At 42.7% G+C, this 23,621-nt stretch overlaps 1 protein-coding gene across 1 annotated transcript in view; it reads left to right on the top strand.

Annotated features, from left to right (window-relative positions):
- Window positions 1-23,621, top strand: part of HYDIN (HYDIN axonemal central pair apparatus protein) — a 428,639-nt gene that overhangs the window by 250,630 nt on the left and 154,388 nt on the right. The window contains exons 30-39 of the mRNA NM_001270974.2: window positions 1,052-1,179; window positions 4,824-4,957; window positions 5,423-5,559; window positions 5,793-5,920; window positions 6,073-6,264; window positions 6,601-6,750; window positions 9,334-9,573; window positions 15,197-15,365; window positions 17,955-18,134; window positions 20,273-20,446. Coding sequence (NP_001257903.1) covers window positions 1,052-1,179; window positions 4,824-4,957; window positions 5,423-5,559; window positions 5,793-5,920; window positions 6,073-6,264; window positions 6,601-6,750; window positions 9,334-9,573; window positions 15,197-15,365; window positions 17,955-18,134; window positions 20,273-20,446 — 1,632 coding nt within the window. The remainder of the gene's footprint in view (window positions 1-1,051; window positions 1,180-4,823; window positions 4,958-5,422; window positions 5,560-5,792; window positions 5,921-6,072; window positions 6,265-6,600; window positions 6,751-9,333; window positions 9,574-15,196; window positions 15,366-17,954; window positions 18,135-20,272; window positions 20,447-23,621) is intronic.

The raw sequence follows: 23,621 nt of genomic DNA, 5'->3' as shown, positions 1-23,621 counted from the left end.
CCCAGCTGGCCTCATCAGGGCAGTAGACATGGTTTGGCCAGTAAGGGCTTTAAAATAATTTAAATTTGAACACCATTAGTTGGGTCTTCTGTTCTCCAGTTCACTACACTCACAGCATTTCCTATTGTTTTATAATAGGCTTTTTGTTTGTTTGTTTGTTTGTTTGTTTGATACAGAGTCTTGCTCTGTCACCCAGGCTGGAGTTCAGTGACGGGGTCTCAGCTCCCTGCAACCTCCACCTCCAGGGCTCAAGCGATTCTCATGCCTCAGGCTCCCCAGTAGCTGGGATTACAGCCACACACCACCATGCCCAGCTAATTTTTTGTAGAGACGGGGTTTTGTCATGTTGCCCAGGCTGGTCTTGAACTCCTGAGCTCAGGCAATCTGCCCGCCCTCAACCTCCCAAAGTGCTAGGATTACAGGCGTGAGCCACCACACCTGGCCTATAGTAGGCATTTTAAATGACTTTCCTACCTTTGCCTTTCAAAGGATTTGAATTTGCACGGGCGTAGTGGTAAATTCGGGTGGGAATCTCTCCACCGATTACCTACCCTCCCTGATTCAGGATAATGTGGCATATTTAGTGTTAATTAAAACAACTTGACCCAAACATATCTTTTGTTAATTGAGATTTAATAAACATAAAAAGTGACTTAAAGGGTGACCGGCTGTCTGGGTTTGTCCAGCACTGGGAGAGCTCCAGGGTGTAGGGGTTTAAGTGCTAGAACCAAGAAAACCCCAAGCAAGCCAGGATCAAGTGGGTCACCCTATGAGTGTCTTCAAATGTAACTAACTTCAAGTTCTGGAGAACTAGCCAGTCCTTCACTAAAGCACAATCTCATTGAACTCAGTGAGGTCTCTAATACAGATTCAACTCTCACATCACCTCACCCTCTGAAGCAGGGAAAGCGGGGCAGACAAAGTATCCAAAAGTCCACTTCCCTTCCCACCTTACCAGGAGCTGAGGGTCTGTGTTTGCGACATCATTCATATTTTTCTGACCTTCCTGATTCTGCTCTCCTTCCAACCCCCACTCCCCACCCTGGTACAGCAAATGAAAAGTATGAAATGTTCTTGAATCAAGCCAGGAAAAACACAGACAAAGAGTATAACAAATGTGAAATGCTCGATCACTTTGACATAATAACTGAGGAAGTGCCAGAAGACGAGCCTGCTGAGGTAAGACAGCTCCAGCCTGCACGGGACGCCTGTGCAGGAGGGTGGTGCGTGCAGAGTGCATAGGAGTTGTGTGCAGAGGGCACTGTGTGCACAGTGTGTGGGGTGTGTGTGCAGAAGGGCACTGTGTGCAGAAGCCCAGGGGCAAGGACATGGTCTCTGAGGTACAGAAAAGAGAAAGACAGAGATAAGGCAAAGAATCAGGAAGCTAGGAGAGGCAAGATGAGCCCAGGAGGTGAGGTATCAGATGGCTGATCTATTAAGGTTTTTGGACTTCATCCTGAGGGCAACGAGAGGTGTGGCCCAATCGACTTTGCATCTTTAAGAGATCCCTCTGGCTGCCATGTGGAGCTTTGAGGGGACAGGAACTTGGGGATGATGAGAGTAGATTCGAGAGATCAGTTTTTTTAGAAGCTGACGGAGGGCCAGGTGCAGTGGCCCATTCCTATAATCCCAGTACTTTGGGAAGCCAAGGATGGCCTGAGGCCAGGAATTTGAGACCAGCCTGGACAACATGGTGAAACTCCATCTCTACAGTTTTTTTAAGCTGATGGAGTCATTCTAGGTGAGAGATGGTGGTGCTGTAAGCAATGGTGATGACAGTGGGGACAGGGCGAACTGGGTGGGTTCAAGGAATATTCCAGAAGTGGAATGGTCAAGACTTAGGGATTGATTGGATATGGGCATGGGGTGGAGGGGACCTCTAAGTCTTGCTTGGATGACGGGGTAAGGAGGGGGACTGAGACAGGCAACTCAGGAGGAGAAGCGAGGTCTTGGTGGGAGGGGAGGGGAGGGAAAGGAGTTCAGCTGTTTCCCGTGGCTACCGAATGTGAGATTTCTGTGCATCATCTGCGTAGAGCAGCCAGTAGGGAACCGGAGCCACTGCTGGGCACCTCGGGGAGAGAGAGAGGTTGGAGAAGGTGACTTGAGAGTCATCAGATGATCATTGCAATCACAGGAAATGGGGAGATTCCCTAGGAAGTATGTCTAGTGAGCAGGAAAAAAGGCAGATTCAGAATGTAGCCCCAAAATACCCCAGCATCTGAGTGGGGGAGAGGGGTGGCCAAAAGATTCTGGAAAAGTCAGGAGCATGTGGTGCCACAGAGGTGGGAGCCAAGCGAGGGTCTCTGGAGGAGAGAGCTTCTCAGCTTGTAAATAAAGGCTGGGATAGGAAGACAAAATCCCAATATATCCTCCCTCATCACCCCTGAAAGTCCTGTTTTAAAAGTCTATTCCTGACCCTGACAGCTGCCAACCCCGCTGCTGTTCTTTCCAAATGCAAATGTGCATGCGAATATTGTTCTAAGGAAGAATCATATATGTGGCTAGAGAGCCCTTAGGTTGGTTAAGAGGGGGCTCTAATGTGGGGGAGAAAGGTGTCATGGGGGAGACAGGAAGCACCAAAGCCCACCGGGGATTATTTGTTTTGCAGAAGGCTGGTTCAAGTACAAGATGCTAAAAGTGAACCTTAGCACCAAGGATGATCATAATTAATAACATCAGTTACCATTTATTGGACTCTTATACTAAGCCTGTGCCATACTGTTAACCTGTACTGTTATCTTGTTAAATCCTCCCACAATGAGGGTGGGGGGAGAATGGTGCTGCTGTCATCTAAATTTTAGTTTTACAGAAGTGAAGTGCATGTCCCAAGGCAAGCACAGAGCTAGGATTTGAAACCAGGCCTGCCCAGCTGCTAAGATGGTGCCCTTAGCCTCTGCCTTCTCCTGCCAGCCCCGGGCTGCCCACTGGACGCAATGATGTGTCTCCACCTGCTTATTGGGTTCCCAGGCTGCACCTTATCAAAGCCTAGGAGAGCAGTGGGGTGGGGTTTCTGTGAATATGATGGTACGTGCAGAGCCAAGCTGGTTCCCTTGAGTAGGGCAGAGTGGACCACTCATGGCTCAGGAGCCAAGCACAGAGTTGGCTTTGCTGCTCTAGAATCCAGACAACTGGGAAGGCTGTCAGCAGACGCTGCTCCTCTCCCAGTTTGTCACACTTCCACTCTCACCTCCTGTGCCTCACTGTGGGCCATGGCACACATTAACCTTCCCTGCTGGGCCTAGACTTAAGGATTAGCCCTTTTCAAATAGTATTTCTCAACCTTTTCCATTATCACTCCCTAAAAATCCATTTTAGACCTTTTTTCCTAATATTCCCCATGAAATATTTTTATTTATTATATACAAAATGGAATCTCCTTGAATAGTTTGACATATACTTTTTAACTTTTTATTTTGAAATAATATATTTACAGGGAATTGAAAAAAAAAGGGTTTTCCCAGCAGTAACGTCTCGTATAACTATAGTACAACATCAAATCCATGAAATTGACATTTGTACAAGCCACAGAGCTTATTCAGATTTCACCACTTTTACATGCATGTGTGTATGTGTGTGGTGTAGTTCTGTGCAATTTTATCACATGTAGATTTGTGAACCCACCACCGCAATTAAGATCCAGAACTATTCCATTACCACCAAGATTCCTCGTGCTTCTTGAGGAAATAAAATTAAAAACAAAATCTCCCTCCAACCCAGAAAATCTATCCACAAAGGTAGAAGAGAAAGAAAACAATTTTATTATTGAATAAGTATTAAACCAGAATGTGATGCCCATCACAGGCAATCTGCTGAGAGATTGCAAAGACAGAAGGAAGTCTGCCCCTCCTATAGAGCCAACCAGATCCAAGCCTTTTCATTCCTGTTCTCAGAGTAAAAAATAGCTAGTCTCAAGTAAGAGGACTTGACACCATCATTTGTCACACATAGTTTATCCTAAATCGACATGGTAATTGAGGTGACCAACTGTGTTAGCTAATTGGCTTTATCCAAAGGAAAAACAAACTTGTCTTTCTAGCAGGGCCCCATGGAAGCTAGGCTCCCATCCTCTCACAGAAACTGGGAGTAGGGACTTCACCTTTCTTGTTGATTACGTGTCAAAGAGATGGTTCCCAGGTCCTTGAGAAAGACACTTCTGGCTCCTAAAGCTGGCAAGAGGCTTATTTCACTTTTAAAAAGATTTATCTACATTTCAAAGCGATAACATTTCAAAGAACTTAAAATTACAAATGTTCTAAACTAAATACTCTAAGGGGAGGAAGAGAAGTCTCTTCCCTTATTTTCAACAAGGAGAACTAAGCCTCATTTTCCATTTGTGTTTGGCCTTACATGTGCCCAGGTTATAACCACATCCACCCCTCTCTCCCTGTCCCTTACCTCTGGCAGCCACTCATCTGTTCTCCATCTTGAGCCTTTTGTTATTTCAAGAATGTTATATAAATGGAATCATACAGCACATCGCCTTTTGAGATTGGCTTTTTTCATTCCACATAATGCCCTTGTAATCCATTCAAGTTATGCACCTCAATAATTCATTCCCTTTTACTGCTGAGTATTCCATGGTGTGGATATACCGATTTGCTTACCCTTCCCACGCCCTTCCCAGGAAAAATGTAATGCTTTAAACATACCATGTATCTGTTTATGTTCTGTGGCTCTTTGGGGGCCGCAAACCATTGTAATATTTAAGATATTTTCCACCACCCTCCAAGAACTAATTTTTGCCTCTTTAGGGGTGGTATTGTCCCTGTTGAGAATGCATGTTCCTAAAGAATTTGCTGACTTGCTCTTCCTTCTTGCTTCAGGTAAGTGCTCATCTCCAGATGGAGGTAGAAAGACTTATAGTCCAAAGCTATGTCCTAGAACATCAGAAAACAACCACCCCTGATCCTATGGATGACCCCTGCTTCAGCCATCGGAGTCGCCGCAAACTGGCCAAGTGAGTGGTTTCCAGTGACTGCCTTTCTGTGCTGTGCTTGTTTCAGAGTGTAGCAGAGCAAGCAGTGCTGCCTCGTGCAGCACACTCCCGGAAACACTGGCTGATCACCTCGCAATGAAATCCACTCTCCTCACTTATCCGCCATCCCCTAGCATCAAGCCAACTGGGCAGCTTTCTGCCTCTTAGAGTGAGAACATTATAGCTATGTCTAATGGACAGGCTTCACTTCAGGTCCATAAGGGCCCATGCTGAACATGTTCTGAGATAATGGCCAAAACAGTGGTGTGAATCTCTGGGGGAGTTAACGTTGTTTCTAGTCTCCATTTGGGTAGCCATTTGTTGTTCTCCACTCTGGAGAATAAAACTGTGCACAGGAGGTAGAAAAAAAAAATCAGACTCACTCACTTTTGGAAAAGTAGCCTTCCAGGTTTGAAAGTGACTAGTAAGGTCTATTAACCATTTCAGAATCCAGCTACCAGAGTACATCCTGGACTTTGGCTACATCATCCTTGGCGAAGTCCGAACCCACATCATCAAGATCATCAACACCAGTCACTTTCCAGTGTCATTCCATGCAGACAAGCGTGTCCTTCATGAGACAGGTACCCAGGCTGGGGAGACCCTTTCCTATTGCACTTGGTCATTTCTCTCAAGGAACCCATCAGTACTGTCCTCCTGGAGCAGCTTTTGTGCCTCTGGGATCAGCTAAAAGGATTCTTGGGCTATTCAGTGATCCTCTGAGCAGTCATTCTGACCCAGTGGGGGCTTTCTCTAGAGCAGCTCTTGTTTGCTGTTTCTCTTTTCCATGAAGAAATTTTTTTTTGTCTTGGTCCAGGATTCAGTACTGAGCTAGATCGTGTAAAGAATCTACCTCATTGTGAAACGGAAATATTTGAAGTGAGATTTGACCCACAGGGGGCCAATCTTCCTGTTGGAAGCAAAGAAGTCATTCTGCCCATCAAGGTACAAGGCACCGCTGGGCCCACCCGGACCTGCAGGTTTCCAGCTCTGCTTGCTGATGGCCCCTGGGATAATCCAGTTATTATGTCAGAGCCATGATTCTTCCTTTCCCCAACCCCATGACACATGATAACTGCAGTTTATACCCTCTCTAGGTGGTTGGAGGGCCAACAGTTCACATCTGTCTCCAAGCCAAGGTGACCATTCCAACCATGACTCTCTCTCGTGGAAAAGTGGACTTTGCCACAATTCAGTGTGGACAGTGCCTGGTGGAAACTATTCAGCTTTCCAATCATCTCCAAGTCCCTTGTGAATGGTTCGTCCAGAGCCAAAAGCCTGTTGACAAGGTAAATGAGCTGTGGCCCATTGGTCCTCCTTTCTCCATCTCCATTGCAGCCAGATTTGTAACTCTAGGTCTTGGCGCTCATCATTTCAATCTCCTGCTCAAAGACTTTCAGTGGCAACCATTGCCTCCTGAATAAAACCTGGGCCCTTAGCCCAGCGCTTGAGGTCCTATCAGGCCATGCTGTCGGGTGGAATGTCTTATTCATCTTTGCACCTCTGGTATCTACACATTCCCCGACACCTGAGAGGTACTCAGGAAATGTGGGTTGTGTGAGTGGAAGGTGAATGAGCTCATTTTCCATAGAAGATGATCTAATTCTCTAATATTTATAAACCAGCTGGAGAAACACATGCCGAAGTACTTAAGACAGAAACTACGCGCTGAATTAAAGCCAAAGACACGGATCTTCGAAATCCAGCCCATTTCTGGAGTCTTGGATCCTGGTGAGAAGTCCAACGTGCAAGTGAAATTCATGCCAAAAGAAGAGGTGAGCTTTAAAGAAATATGGCTTCATTTAGATTCTCTGGACCTCTTTGAGCTTTACTCAAAGTCCATGCTTGTTTGGGTCTCAAGGGAAGCTTCGAGTGACCTGTGCCTTGCTTTTCTGAATATGGCATCTCAAGCACTTCTGGTTCACATAGGAGCTGTGTGGCCTGGTGGTCTGGAATCATTGGACTAACACATCAGTTTTTATCAGAAGGCCTGGGTTAGTAGCCTTCTGCCTCTGCACACTTACATGCTGTGTGTCTTTGAGGAAATTACTTAGCCTCATTCAGTCTCAGTTCACTCATAGATAAAAGAAAAAATAGTCATGTTGCATATCAGAAGTCCTTATTGAAATTCTGAAACCCAGTAAGATCCAAAACTGGGGGTGGGGGGTTTGAGATTTCATAAGCTTCGCACTAAAACTCATTTGGCAGAAAAATCTCATCTGAACTGACATGACACCATTTAACCTTTATTTGTACAACTTAGTTTTCAGAGTCAAACATTGCCAACAACTGTTAATGTGTTTGATTACAGGGGACCTGCCCCAGACCCTGCTGAGGGTATTAGGTAACATAGGGTATATGCACTGTGTTTACTATTTGAAAAATCTGAATTTGAAAGTATCTGGCCCCTGGGTTTCAGATAACTTATTGTCAACCTGTAATGACTACCTCCTAAGGTCATTTTGAAGATTAAATGCACAGTATTGAATAAAGTACACAGTGTGCTGCTCTATGTAAGTAAATCTCTCAATAACTATTAACTATTATCATCAGTAGTCGTGAAAAGTACGTCCCAGTAGATGGCCTCCCGGAGCCTCATAAATGTTTCTTTTGTGAACATAATCAACTCAAAGCTACTTCTGACCAGGAACATAATAAAATTAATAAAATCCTCGAACCAGAGAATCTCAAGAGGTTGCACTGTAAAGACTTTTATTCAAAGCCTAAGGCACTTGGGAAATATATTTTTCTCTATTCTGTTATTTTAAAAGAAAAATTGATTTGTGTTTTATAGAAGAGCTATGGTTAACTCCCATTTTCCTTGTAATCGCTTTGAGGAAATGCTTAAGCACCTTCAGTGAGAAAGAGAAAAAGCAAATGACTTCCTATCTCATTCTAAAATAAAACCCATGTTTTTATCATTATCAAAATCTTCCCAGTCCATTTAAAAGAAAATTAGTAATATGTTTGTCATTCTTAAAGAGTCTTAAAATTTTCAAAGGGTTTACTCAAGATTGTGGATTTTTTTTCCATTACTTAATGAGGGAAATATAGTAAAAAAAAAAAATAGATTTGTTCAAGCAGTTTCATGAATGTTGAGTTGGAATTGGTCAAAGTTAGTAAAATGTTTCCACCAATTAAGAGAGAAATTTATTAGCTGTATACAAGGAATTGGTTAGCCCTGCAACCCATACGATCCATATATCTGCATCATCATCAACATCAGCAGCACCAAGAAATCAGTGACATCCACACCAACAATTCTTAGGCATGATAACATGTTCAAGAAAATGAATGAAATGTTTTAGAAAGATTTCCATAAGGAGCAATTAAAATACAGAAGTTTGAATCATAAGGTACTAAGCCCATAACTATAGAGAAACCCTTCTTAGCCAGTAATTTATCTTTTTGTGTCCAGAAATAGATATTTCTGTGTGTATGTCTGTATACATTCCATCCATTTGCTTTTTCCCCTTCAAGCTAAGATAGGAGGTCTTCAGATTGTGATTTGCGTAATTTCCTCTCAAACCAAGCTACAAGTCCAGCTATACCAGAATAACCTAGGCATCTGGTTAAAAATGCTGAATCCCAGCCTTACTCTGCCCCTACAGAGTCAGGATTTCTAGGGATGGAATCTGAGGATCTGCATGTTTAATAGGTTCCCCAGTGAAATCAGACTAGGAACTATGGGATGCAATGTAGATTTGGGTACCATTTTGAGAAAACATGTGAGTAGTTATGATATCACTATTAACCAGTATCTGGTTGTAATTGTATCTGATGAACTGAATGCCCCAGCTCTGGCATTCTGCCAAACTCTGGGAAAATACACAAAGTACACACTTCAGAATCATCACTCCTCAGGAGCAAGGGAGCTGGGGTCTTTTTACCGTAAATCCCCAGAGTCATTGCTTAATAACTAATTCCAGATGGTATCATTTCCCTGGCATTTTTGCCCTGCCCTCCCCTGCCCATGGACAGCAGGTTCCATGAAATGAGAACCTTCAGGCCCAGAGATGCAGACAGTGGCAGCTGGAAGTCTGAGCACACTGGAAGATTTGAGGGATGTGAAAGTGATACTCAGAGGGCTTGCTACAAACGATGAAGCACTTGGTACAAGTGCTAGAATGCTAGATACCCAGAATTTATTTGATATCTAGCACTTGGTACAATGCTTGGCATGCTAAATACCCAGTACTTATGTTAATTCGGTAATAAAAATTACTCTTATGCAATTTTATAATAAGTTTTCTCCCTTAATCTAAATAGATAAGTTTTTTCCCCTCAGCAGTGTTTTGTTTTACATGACATGTAATGGAAATAAACTCAGATGCTTGTTTTGTTTTTATGTTTTCCAGAAATTCTACAGCCAAACCCTGGTGTTTCAGATTGCCCAGAGTGCTCAAAAGCTTACCCTCCTGGCACGTGGGCAAGGTCTAGAGCCACGCCTGGAATTTAGTCCTTCAGTCCTGGATCTGGGGCCACTGCTACTTTGTGCACCTGGAGACGAGGCCGAGGTGATAGTGAAGAATCCCTGCAACTTCCCCATTGAGTTTTATTCCTTAGAATTTGATCAGCAGTATCTCATAGAAGAAAAGGTGAGCAGAGGTCAAACCAAACTGTTTTTCTACACGTTCCCATCTTTTTCCCCTTGAATTCTTCCTTGTCAATTTAGTGATTACTTCCCTATAGCCTTTTCTGACCTACTTCCCTTGACCTGAGTAAAATCCTAGACATTTTAAGCAACTAATTGAAAAGCTAATGCATGTTCATGGTTAAAATTCCAACAGTAAAGAACCGTATATAGCAACTTGTCAATATCATTGTATTTGAAGTTGAGTTACTTGTAGACAGCATGTAATTGGGTCATTTTAAAAAATATGCTATCAGTCTCTAACTTTAGTTGATATATTTAGACTTTAGTTGATATATTTAGTTTACATTTAGTGTAGTTATTGCTATTTCAGGACTTAAGTCTGCCATTGCATGTTTTATTGTTTTTTGGAATTTTTTGCTTTCAGGAATTTTTTGTTTACTTTTTCCTACTTTCCTATCAGTTGCTTCAACATTATTTAAAATTCCATTTTTATTTACCCAGAGTGTTTTTTGGGTGTATCTCTTTGTATAGCTCCTTTAGTTATTGCTGTAGGTATTACATTATCTATACATAACATTATAATCATTGACTGTCAATGATTAAATGTCAATCACTGGTATTGACATTTTAGCAGTTCTAGTGTATTTAGAAAACTTTCCTCCATTTAACTCCCTTCAGCCTTCCGATTTTTAATATAACTGTCTTAAATATTTTTCTTATATTAGCTAGCACTATAATTATTGTTTCAACTGTCAAACATACATTTGAAGACCCCAGAGGAAAGAGAAAATGTATTATATTTGTCTCTCTTTTTACTCTTTCTGTTCTTTCTTCTTTTCTGATACGCCAAGATTTCTTCTTTTATTATTAACTTTCTGTTTAGAGAGCTACCTTTAGCTCTGTTGTTAGGGTATGCCTGCTGATAGAAATTTCTTAGTTTTCCTTCATCTGAGAATGCCTTGACTTCCCCTCTCATCCTTGAAGGATTTGCTCACTGGATATAGAATTCTGAGCTGACAGTTCTTTCATCCCTTGAAATATATGCCACTTTCTTCTGGCCTCCATGGTCTAATGAGAAATCCAATGTCATTTGAATTATTTTTTTTCCTCTGTAGGGAAGATTTCATCTCTCTCTCACTGCTTTCAGGAATTTTTCTGTGTCTTAGTTTACAGAAGTTTGACTATAATGTGTCTTGGCATAAATTTCTTTGGTTTATTGATTTTGGGATTTGCTGAGTTTCTTGAATCTGTTGATCTTTATCTTCTTTCCAACTTGGAAATTTTTCAGGCATTATTCAAGTACCTTTTTCAGCCTCATGCTCTTTCTACTCTCCTTCCAGGGCTCAAATGACACTCATATTTTGTTTTGTTACAGTTTTACAGTTCTTTGAGGCTCTTTTCTTTTTTTTAAGTCTATTTTCTCTGTTATCCAGAGTAAGTAATTTCTATTATTTTATCTTCAAGTTTGCTGATTTTCTTCTCCATCCATTTCATTCTGCCCACATATTGAGTTTTTATTTTGGTAACTATATTTTTACGTTCTAAAATTTTCATTTGGTTCTTTTTTATATCTTGTGTTTCTTTGCTAAGACTTTCTTTTTTTTATTTGCTTCAAGTATGTTCATAATTGTTCACTAAAGCATTACAATGATGGCTGCTTTAGAATCTTTGAAAGATAACTAATATCACTATTACCTTGAAGTTGATATCTATTCATTTTCTTTTGTCATTCAAGCTGAAGTTTTCCTGGTTGTTACTATGATGAAGGATTTTTAGTTAAAACCTGGGCGTTTTTGGTATTATGTTATGAGACTCTGGACCTTATTTAAATTTTGTTTTAACTGGCCTTTTCTGAAATGACTTGGGCAAGGAGAAGGGGGCACTGCCTTCTTACTGCCAGATGCAGGTAATAGTCTAGGTTCCCTCCTTGGCCTTCTTTGACAAACAGTAGGAGGAGCTCTTCATTACTGCTGGGCAGGAGTGGTATTTCTGGCTCTCCGCAAGGCCTCCATTGATACCTTCCTGGCTGGGAGGGGCAGGAGTGCCTTGTTACTACTCTCCACACGGACTCCACTGACTCTGCATGGAAAAATAGAGGGGTAGCCGTACTACCCAGGACCACTGGGTAATGACAAAAGTTCTGACTCCCACTAGACCTCAGCTGACACCACCCCAGCAGAGGGGAGGAGGGGCATTTCTTTACCACCAGATGGACGTGGAAGTCCAGGCTCCCTACATGGGCTTTACTGACAGATTTGGGGGGAGGTGAAGTCTTGTTACCCACTGGCAGGGAGGACACTCCTAAGATGTCCCAGACTTGACGGGTTCATTTCCTGCCCAGACCTGGAGTCAATCATTTCTCCAAGGAGCCCTTGTTCCTTTTAGTATGAAATAGCATTTAGAGATCACAGTCTGGACCACTGGATTGTGACTTTCTAGGTCTTTTTAGTAAATAGAATTAGGAAATGTGATTTTTAAGAGGGGAAAAAAATCATAACACATAATGATGTTTCAAATTCCAATTTAAGATTATAGGATTTTATCTAAATTCTTCAATGATACATTTGTTTCTGCTTTCTCTTGAAAATCATGGATATAAACTTACTTATCAATTTATCTTATAAAATATACATTTAGCCAGGCACAGTTGTACACACCTATAATCCTAGCATTTTGGGAGGCCAAGGCAGGAGGATTGCTTGAGGATTGAGTTTGAGCCCAGCCTGGGCAACATAGCAAAACCCTATCTCTACAAAAAAAAATACAAAATTCTTTGGGAGGCCAAGGCGGGTGGATCACAAGGTCAGGAGATCGAGACCATCCTGGCTAACACGGTGAAACCCCGTGTCTACTAAAAAATACAAAAAAAAAATTAGCCAGGTGTGGTGGAAGGCGCCTGTAGTCCCAGCTACTCAGGAGGCTGAGGCGGGGGAATGGCATGAACCCAGGAGGCAGAGGTTGCAGTGAGCTGTGATCGCGCCACTGCACTCCAGCCTGGGCGACAGAGCGAGACTCTGTCTCAAAAAAAAAAAATACAAAATAATTTAGCTGGACATGGTGACACATGCTTATAGTTCCAGCTACTCGAGGGGCTGAGGTGGGAGTTCAGTTGAGCCTGGGAGGTCGAGGCTGCAGTAAACCAAGATCATACCACTGCACTCCAGCCTGGGTGACAGAGTGAGACCCTGTCTCAAAATAAAATAAAATAAGTAAATTAATAAAATAGCTTCAAAATAGTAATATCAATATTCCTACTAACAGTAAGGCTACTGAGTCATATTATCCATAAGCATGGTGAGGCCTCTGTGCTGTGTTCCAGCAGCTCCCCCCAAATCCACATCTCATGCTCCCACCCTGCTGCCCTACCTTGAGCTACACCTTTGTCTAATAACCTTAGTGCCGTGCTCTTTGAAACGGCCTCTTAATTCCCTCTTGTGAGCAATATTAAAATTAGCTAGTAATCTCTTTTTCCTTCTCCCCTTTCCATCCTCTAATTTAAAATGATTTTATTTCCAGTTAATACCAGCTGAGTAGTCATCTCATGTACCCTTCCCCCATATTTCCTACTTGTATTTTATCTATATTGTCAGAGCTTATAGTATTAAGGTATCAGGACTTAATTTCCATCATGGAGTCTTAGTTTTACACTAAGACATATTGAATGCCCAACACCAATCCTTACAGTGGAGCTTCTCCAATCACTTCTGGGTTGTCTACAGCTCATTCTCTGGTGGATTTCTCAGGCAGAGATCATGGGAATGACATTCTCTGAGTATTCAAACATTCGTAACCATTTATCTGTGACTTTTGAAGATCAGATACAATTTTCTTGGCTTACATTTTCTTCACTTGACTATTTTAAATATGTTGCTCCATTGTTTCCTCATAAGGTATTCTTGTCCATGAAGCCCAACGCTATATTTGTTATCTTTTGCTGCATAACAAATTAGCCCCAAACTTACCAACTTAAAACAATAAACATTTGTCATCTCGTGCTTTCTGTGGGTCAGAAATTTGAAGGTGGCTTAGCTGAGTGGGGGTTCTGCTTCCTCTGGACCCTCCCCCACTCAGCCTTTGAATCTTCTGTCTTCTTTACTTCCAGTGTTGATAGCCTGCTTAGTTTGCAGTCTGCTCCCAGAAGTTTTTCTCAGAATGGGAATCTGCCCCTTTGGGGAGAGTCTTTTCATTAGGAATTTATGAGATCCTTAGTGGCTTCTGTTGGCACAGCACCTTCTATCAAGAGTCAGGCTCTGTGGAAAGCACAATCTAAGACTTGAGATTTGCATGTGGGAGGTTTCTTGAGGGCACTCTCAGGAACATCTGTGAAGAATAGGACAGCAGAGTTGGGCAGAGGGAGATGAACTGTGATGAGATGGCAATGGAGACTTCAGCTAATCGCACAGGAAGCTCTGGGGCTGGGTTGGCCCTTTGGAGTTGCCCCAGTTGCTGCTTGTTTGCCAGGCCTTTGTGCCCTGTATCAGCCAGGCTTTGGCATATTGCCTCCTTTGCCCACAGATTCTCTATGCCATCTCTATGCTTTATCACAGTTCCATAAATAAATGGGTCAATTCTGAGCTCTCTCTTCTATTTCAGTGGTCAATGTGTCTTTCCCAGCATCATTGCCACTCTGTCTATTACTACAGCTTCCTGATAAGGCTTGTCATCTGGTAGGGCAATAGCCTTCTTTTATTCCTTTTCATTAATGCTTTAATTTTGCCCTTCCATGTAAATTCTAAAATTTACATGGATCTTATTTTACATGGAGCCTATTAGCAGTGGTGTTCAAATATTTACATGGAGCTTATTAGCAGTGGTGTTCAAATAACTAAAAATGGGGATCCTGAAGAAGGGTTACCTAACAAAACAGATTTTTGATACCAATAAATCAGGTTGTAGAAGAAGTAAATGCTTTTTAAAACTTAATTTTGCTGTGTCTTATAAATACACATACACACTAGGATTGCCAGATTTAGGAGAAAAAAATACAGGCTGTCTAGTTAAATTTGAATTTCAGATAAATAACAAATATTTTTTAGTATGTCTCAAATATTACACTGGACATATTTATACTAAAAAGTTATTCATTGTTTATCTGAAACTCAAATTTAACTAGGCATCTTGTATTTTATCTGGCAGCCCTAATACACATTCACACACATGTGCACACATACACGTACTTAATACTATTTTACCTCTTTTTTTCCCCTGGATCCTCTGTTTATGAGACCACACCCTTGCTTAATGTAAAATTGCTAACCACAATATTGTTGGTAAGAATGAATTGTCACTCAAGGTAGATAATGGAGTTCTGAAATTTTGTCATGGGGAAGAAAGGAAAAGAGTGTATATTAGTTTTAAAACAAGAAGAAAACATATTTCCACAGGTGAAATGCCCAGGCTGAAATGGAGCAAAATAAAGATCATGTATCCCCACAGGCTCAGAGCTCAGCCCTACTTCTGACACCTCTCCAAAGGGCCCCACTCTTTGAAATCCAGAAAGTATTTGTACAAGTCTCAGCCTCAGGCAGGAGCAGGAGTTTTATAAAATCAGTGAGCAGACCCACTTAGAGCTGCAGGGAGATTTCTAGTGAGACCAACAGGATTCTCTTTCTCCCCTCGAGCAGATCTTGCGGAAGCTGAAGGGCTATGATTCCTACAACACCCTGCTGCTGCCTCCCCGCAACCCTGGGGAGAAGCTGCCCCCAGAACTGTACGAGTACTTCAAAGAGATAAAGAAGTCAAAAGAGGAGCAGATGAGGGCGAAATATCTGGAGAATCTGGCACAGGAGAATGGTGAGAACTCAATGTGGAGAACACCTCATGCTAACCATTGCCTTTGCCCCTCTGAATTACCCCTGCTCTGGGACCAACCTGTTTCTGAGTACCTGCCAGGTGCCAGGCAGGTGCTGCCTGCCTTGTGTATTTTATTTCTAACCCTTACAAAATGGGTCGCGTTATCCCCATTTTATGGATGCAGAGGCTGGAACACATTCTGCTGTCACTAGGGCCCAATTGGGGTAGTATGACCTAAAAACAGCTAATACAGATGGAAGAACACTTGCTGGATGCCACGTTGAGGGCTTTGGACGTACAGATGAGAAACTGAAGCGCAGAGAGGCCAGGTCCACAGTTTTAAGTGGCAGAATCAGGATTCCAGCCCAGGGCTCTCTGACTCCAGAGTCCATGATGGTAACCACTGCTTCCTATGGGTAGACCTAGGTAAGGCAAAGTAATGTGTCACACAAGGTAGAAACTGGTGCCCTAAAAGCAGGGGGTGGGCATTCACACAAGCAGAAGACGAGCCCCTCCATAGTCCTCAGGCCAAACTCCAATCGCAGAGCTGTCCTGTGCTCTCAGAATTGTGCCCTTTCTGGCCCACCACCCCTGAGTTATCCCATCATCTGCCCAGGGGCTCTTGTGTGCTTGGCCATAAAGGTTCCTCGCTGACTTGTGGGACTGTGTCACTTATGAGGATGCATCTTCTCTTTCCTGCTTCTCTGTAACCTCATCTTAGAAATGTACCCACCTTGTTTTTACTTGCTTTCATCTGTGTAACAGTCATACACGTAATTATTTTCTTCACAATGCCTCCACCACTAACCAAGAAGTCCCCGTAAAGGCATTGATCAAATATTCCCCATGTGTAAAACTAGTGCATGGAACAGCAGTAGACCCAATAGTGCCCAATAAATGGGTGCTATGTGAGTGAATGCATTAATGGATTGAATGAAGTTATTTTTCCTGCCCTTGGACCTGTCTCATTGTCCAGGAAATAGAAGCTAATCAGAGACCACTAGTTTGGCTTAAAAGGAGAAGATGAGAGAAGACAGCTGCCACCCACCCCGTCTCCTAGTCACGTTCCTTGAGTTTGCTAGGGCTGCCATTGCAAGTACCACACACTGGGTGGCCTAACCAACAGAAGTTTCTTTTCTCCCAAATCTGAAGGCTAGAAGTCCAAGGCTGAGTGGCAGCAGGGTTGCTTTCTTCTGAATCCCATCTTGCAGTTGGCTGTCTTCTCCCTGTGTCTTCACCTGGTCTTCCTTCTGTGTGTGTCTGTGTCCTAATCTCCTCTCCTCATAAGGACACCAGTCCTACTGGATTGGGACCCACCCATGTGACCTCATCTTACCTTAATTACCTTTTCAAAGGTCCTATCTCCAAATGCAGTCACATTCTGAGATACTCGGGTGTTAGGACTTCCACATATGAATTGGGAAAGGACACCATTAAGCCCATCACAAGGACCCACTGTGTTGCAAGCACTGAGCTAAAGTGGTGGGAAAAAAAAATTAGTGAAAAAAGTGCCGGGGAAAAAAAAATCAGAAAATGCAATGAATCCTTACCTTTGAGAGCTCACAGTCATGAAGAGAGTGTGAGGAGAGACACACCATCAGAGGGACTGCCCAGCAGCCCAAGGCAGGGCAGCAAGGGCTGCAATGTACAAAGGACCTCCCAAAGGCAGAGAAGGCCTTGGTGCTCCCCTTGTCGTCACACACCATGTTTGTGGGCTCCCTTACCCATCTGGCCCAATGGAAGGTGATCTAAGCCAGGATCAGTGGGTGCAGAGGGAACCCAGAAAGGCACACGCCCTGCTTCTCACCAGTGCCTCTCTGATGAGCTTTGTCTACTCGCTCTGCTCTCACGCTATAGATCATCCTTCTCTGCTTCCCTTCCTTCCAGGGAAGGCCCACAGCCCCAAGTCACAGGACCACCATTCATGAGAGAGCTGCAACCCCTCAGGCTCAATTTCTACCTTGTGTGACAAAGGGAATGTCTTGCCCTGTAGTAGAGGGGGATCACCTCATACAGTCACAGCCCACTGCACCCCTGAAATGCTATAGAACAATGGGCAATCAATGAGGAAGGTGTTGGGCCAACGAAAGGATAGCTGTCCCTAACAATGACACAGGAAATGGTCATGATAAATTAAAAGGGAAAGCAGGCTACACATCAGTATGTACAATATAACCCCAAGCTTAGTTTCAAACAATTAAAAATTAAAAATCTGAGAGGTTGCAGCTCTCCTGTGCTGGTATGATAAAATTTGGTACAATTTCTCTGTCACTATTTCTTTGTCTATCTCCAACTCTTTTTGTAGCTGAATTCCATCATTTTTGGCTCTTCTGAGTTTTCCACATTTTCTAAGCAAATGTATAATTTTAGTTGCTAAACAAATGTTAAAATGTAGAAACACTGTGCACAGAGAGACTGAGGAATAGCCAACTGACTGCAGTTCTTGTTTATTTGGGTTGAATGGTCCAGGGTGATGGGAGCCCGTATGGTGAATCTCTTCTTCATCTTTTTTTTTCCTTTTCTGCCTCCATCTCCCTTGTCCCCCTCCCAACTCTTCCCCTGGTGTTTTCATCCTTTGCTACCTGGCAGAAGAGGAAGATATAACCTCATCAGATCAGGGAACCTCCAATAGCACAAAGAGGACATCGCTGAGCCGAGGGATCTCTGTCACATCCAACCTGGAAGAATGGCACGCCCTGTTGGTCGAGTCCAAAACCTACCTAGAGGAAGAGGAGGATGAGGAAAGCCTGGAAAAAATCATTTTCCAAAGTAACCGAGCATTTTAGTGTTTTGATACTAGTTCTCTCCAAGCAGAAATAGGAAGACAATATTCAGTACCTTGTCACTTTCTCTAAGCCTCCTCGTATGGCTCCTAGCCCATCCTGCCCTGCCCACCACAGCTGCCCTCCGGAGAAGCTCTGATCTGCCACTCACAGTAGGATACAAGCTTGAGAGTTGGGTGATGAGCTTAGCATATAATACATTCTTGGCACAGTAATTTGTGTTTCAACTAGACTAAATGAAGGCCTGAATCTTTCCTGCTAAGATTCTGGCAGACTGGGAGGTGTTTAGAGAAACATTATGGGGATGGGGGACATTCTCCCCAGTGTCCCCCCAGTTGGGCCATTAGGGAGCTCTTCTCTTGACCTCCCAGCATTATGGCCCCATTTTCTGGCATTTATTTTCCCCAAGTTTTGCAAGATGTTGGAACCATATTCAGAAAATTAGATTCAGTGAAACTGGGTTCATGGGGGCCATTTGCTGGTCATTATAAACCATGATAAGGCATAAGCAACCTTGTCCTGTGCCCACCCCCAGAATAGGAATCATGGGTGAGGCTCAGGAGATCTTTAGGGAGCTAAGTCATCATTCATAGCCCTCATCAACCAGGTGAGTAAATGAAGTCAGGAACATGTAATGGCAAAACTGAGATTAAAGACAGAAATTTCTGGCTCCATGCCTCATATTTAATCCACCCTGGCTATGTTGATGGGCCCCCAAGTGGTTCCTGGTCTCTCCGAGCAGCCCTCCCCACCCCATACACCCTGACTCTGCTCCCCATGCCTGGGCTCCTCCAGGGCTGACCCTGGACATCCCACGTAGAAGAAAGCATACCACAATGCTTAGGATGAAAAAACATGAAAACCATCTAAATGCCCATTAGTAGGGAACTAGTGAAATTGTGACAAAGCCATACAGTGGGAGTTATTTAGCAGCTATTTAAAAAGAATGAGCTAGGCCGGGCAAGGTGGCTCACGCCTGTAATTCCAGCACTTTGGGAGGCCAAGGCAGGCGGATCATGAGGTCAGGAGTTCGAGACCATCCTGGCTGACACGATGAAACCCTGTCTGTACTAAAAATACAAAAAATTAGCCGGGCATGGTGGCACATGCCTGTAGTCCCAGCTACTTGGGAGGCTGAGGCAGGAGAATCACTTGAACCCGGGAGGCGGAGGTTGCAGTGAGCCAAGATTGTGCCATTGCACTGTAGCCTGGCAACAGAGCGAGATGCCATCTCAAGAAAAAAAAGAAAAACAGAATGAGCTAGACCTGTATTTAAGTAAATGGAAAGATGTCCAAGATATATTATGTGAAAAGCAAGTTACAGAGCAAAATTCAGAGTGTCATCCTAGTTTTGTTATTAAAACACTGAATGTATTTGGGATGACTATATGTATCTGGCTGCACACTACTCTACAATTAATACACATATGATCCTGCAGCTTGCTTTTTTCTAGACGTTCCTCTAGGCCAATGCATTTGATAAATCAAGGTTTGGCAAACTTTTCCCATAAAAGGCCAGACAGTAAATATTTGGGGCTTTGAAGGCTATACAGTCTCTGCCAAAACTACTCAACCCTGCCTTTGGAGGGTGGCTGTGATGACAAAGACAATATGTAATCAAAGGACATGGCTATGTTCCAATACAACTTGATTTACGAAAACAAGCAGCAGGACAGATTTGGCCTGTGGGCTATAGTTGACTAGTCTGTGATACCGAAGTCATCATTTTAATAGCTGCTGTGTATTGGTTCTATAATATGAATTTACCATCATTTATTCAGCCATTTCCCTTAATGCTGCAGATTTCACTAGTTTCTAATATTTTGCACTGTAAGCCATCCTCCTCTCCACACAAATGTCCTTTCTACTTTTCAGCAAGAGAGATTCCCCAAAATGAAAGTGGGGTCAAAAAATCTGTTTTTTTATTTTAGTAGCTATAAACAAATTATTAGCCCAAAAGGGCCTAGTCGTACACTACAAGTGGGGACTGCTGCAATATTTGCCATTTAAAAAAAACAGCATTTAAAAAGAAATATCCATTCCCATTTCCATCAGTACCCATGTAAATTCCGGCTGTGTAGCATGCATGCCATGTGTGCACACACATATATTTTAAATTTGCAGCTGACAAGCTTCAGAGCATTGACAGCCACTCCATGGAGGAAGTTGGAGAGGTGGAAAACAACCCAGTGAGCAAAGCAATCGCTCGCCACCTGGGCATTGACATTTCTGCAGAAGGCCGCCTGGCCAAGAACCGGAAAGGCATCGCCATTATCATTCATGGGACACCCTTGTCAGGTAGGCAACAGTTCTGAGGGGAGGTTAAGACCAGCAGTGCCATGTCTTCTCTGTAAACTCTGCGGCTTCCAGAGTGGCAACATCAGCTGTGTGGTCATGGCAAATACTAATGACTTTATTTGAGGAACTGCATAGGGTAGTGAATATACATTAATAGCTGTGTGCCTTTGGGAAAATTAACTAAATTGTCTGTGCTCAGTTTCCCTGTCCGTAAAGTGGTATTAACGCTGTCTATTTTATAGGGTAGTCATGAGAATTTAATGAGAACATTTATATAAAATGCTTATCTCAATACTTGGCACATAGTAAATACTCAAACGAAAAGCTGTTGATGTTATCATTATTATTACTATGATGACTGTTGGCATTCACAATTATAACCATACCTGCAGTGTGAATCCTCATTGAAAAGAAACTTCCATCACATGCTAAATATTCTCAAGGAATATTTTCCTAACCATAAACCAGTCAAGGGATGAGCCCTTGATAAAGAAAGGATTTTTTAACGAGAATCCTTTATTACCTCCAAAATTACATGTGCTAACTTTACCATAAACCCAAAGGAGCAGAATCACCTACATTGGGAAAAAAAAAATCTTATTTGTATAGTAATTTGCAGTTCACAGAGCTCCTTCCCATCCATTTGTCTATCTAAACTTCGTAACCACTCAGAAAAGAGAATTTGATTTCCCCTACCTTATGGGAAGCTAAGGTTCAGAGAAATTCAAGGACATCTGCCCAAGGTCACCCAGTTAGAAAGCGGCAGAGCAGAGGGATATTGGGAGGATGCCCTGCCACCTCTCTTAGCTTCAGCTTACTTGACGAAGGGCCATGAAATCTTGTTCTGACCCAATTACTATCATTCATACAGACAACATTTATGGAGCATTTTTGATATTCTAATCACTGAGAGGTCCAGGAATCTAAAAATGTCACAATTCATTACCCCTTCCTTTGAAGAACCTTTCCTTGAGAAGTTGTAAATCAGGACCTAAAAAGTAGAAGGCCAGATGTGTGGGCAACAGGCAGAAATCAAACGAGGCAAGTAAGAACATAACTGGAAATGTTTTGAAGACCCCCTACACAAACACACCTGCAGAGGCTCAGGCCATTTTAGTGTTGCACTAAAAGGAATGTCAGAAGGATGGTTGATGGATCCATAGAAACTGCAGACAGCTGGAGAGTTAACACCAAAAAGGCACTGACCTGGAAAGAGCCACCAGCTCTGTTCTAGTGGAGGCTCAGTCACTTCTCATCTGCAGGTGAAAAGCCTATTAGAGTGTGAACTACAGTAATAACAAGCCTGACATTTTTATGGAACCTTACAGCTTTCACAGAATCTTCATGAAGAACAGCTTAACAGCCTATGTCAAAATCAGACTGATCAATATAAGTTATTTTTCCCCTTTTGTTTATGGTGAAGTTAGAACATACAACTTTTGAAGGCAATAAGAGACTCTTTTGTTTATAATCCATATAATTAAGGATTATCCCCAAACTGTTAAATTGCTGACCTCAGAGAGGGGATTAAGAAGGAGAGGGAAGACACCTCATTTGGAACGTATACATCTCTGAATTGTTTGAATTGTATTCTTTCCGTAATTTAAAAATATTAAAATATTAGAGAAAAAAATCCCAGACATTAAATTATTTAAAAAGAGAAAGAAATATATGTGCAGACTCTGACCTGACAATGTTACTTCTAAAATTTTCTTAGGAAAAATAATTAATGATGTGGACAAGATGAACTGCTTGAATGTTCACTGCAGCACTGTATGCTGTAATAGAAACTCGGGAGCAATTACAACATTCAATATGGGGAACTGGTTAATCAGGCCACAGTACATTTATATGGTGAATTTTATTGCCATTAAAAACAGTGTCTTGTACACCCATGTTCATAGCAGCATTAATCACAATAGCCAAAAGGTGGAAACAATCCAAATGGCCATCAGTGGCTGAATGGAAAAAACAAAATATGGTATGATGCAATGCTATTCAGCCTTGACAAGGAAGGAAATGGACAGGGTGTGGTGGCTCACGCCTGTAATCCCAGCACTTTGGGAGGCTGAGGTGGGTAGATCATGAAGTCAGGAGTTCAAGACCAGCCCGGCCAACATGGTGAAACCCTGTCTCTACTAAAAATACAAAAATTAGCCGGGCGTGGTAGCAGGCGCCTGTAATCCCAGCTACTTAGGAGGCTGAGGCAGGAGAATCATTTGAACCCGGGAGGCAGAGGTTGCAGTGAGCCAAGATCGTGCCATTGCACTCCAGCCTGGGCTACAGGGCGAGACTCCATCTCAAAAAAAAAAAAAAAATAGGAAGGAAATTCTGACACATGCTACAACACGGAAGAACCTTGAGGACCTTATGCAAGGTGAAATAGGACAGTCACAAAAGGACAAACACTGTATGACTCCGCTTAGATGAGGTACCCAGACTGGTCAAATTCATAGAGCTAGAAAGAGAAACAGAATGATGGTTTCCAAGGGGCTGGGAGGGTGGTGGGTACTGGGGAGTTATAGTTTAATGGGTACAGAGTTTCAGTTCGGGAAGATGACAACGTTCTGGAGGTGGATGGTGGTGATGGGGGCACAGCAGTGTGAATGTACTTAGAACCACTAAATCATATACTTATAAATGATTTAAGTGACAACTGTTATGTATATTTTACCAAAATAAAAACAGTGTCATACAAGTGTATTGAATTAATGGAAAGTTGTTCATGATATATCATTTTACATGAGAAAGGGTGCCATACTCACGGTGTGTAGTTAGTATTAGTGCCCCGTTGCTACTATAACAAGTGACCACAGACTTCATGGCTTCACATAATGCAAATTTATACTCCCATAGGTCTGGAGGACAGAAGTCTAAAATGGGTGAGCATGGCTGTGTTCCTTCTTGGAGGATCTGGGGGACAATCCGTTTCCTTGTCTCTTCTAGCTTCTAGAAATGTTGCCTGCAACCCTTGGTTCCTGGCCCCTTCTTCCTCCTTCCCAGCCATCAGCATAGCATCTCCCAGTCTCTCCTGCTACTTCCATGGTTGATTGACCTGCTCTGACTCCAACCCTCCTGCTCTCCTCTCATGGGGACCCATTGTGCCCGGTTGGATAATCCAGGCTAACCCCCCATATCAAGATCTGTAAATTAATCACATCTGCAAAGTCTCTTT

Source organism: Homo sapiens, chromosome 16, assembly GCF_000001405.40.
Source record: "Homo sapiens chromosome 16, GRCh38.p14 Primary Assembly".
Lineage (NCBI taxonomy): Eukaryota > Metazoa > Chordata > Mammalia > Primates > Hominidae > Homo > Homo sapiens.
Note: the sequence above shows the minus strand (reverse complement) of the source record. Positions and strands in the feature narration are given on the sequence as shown.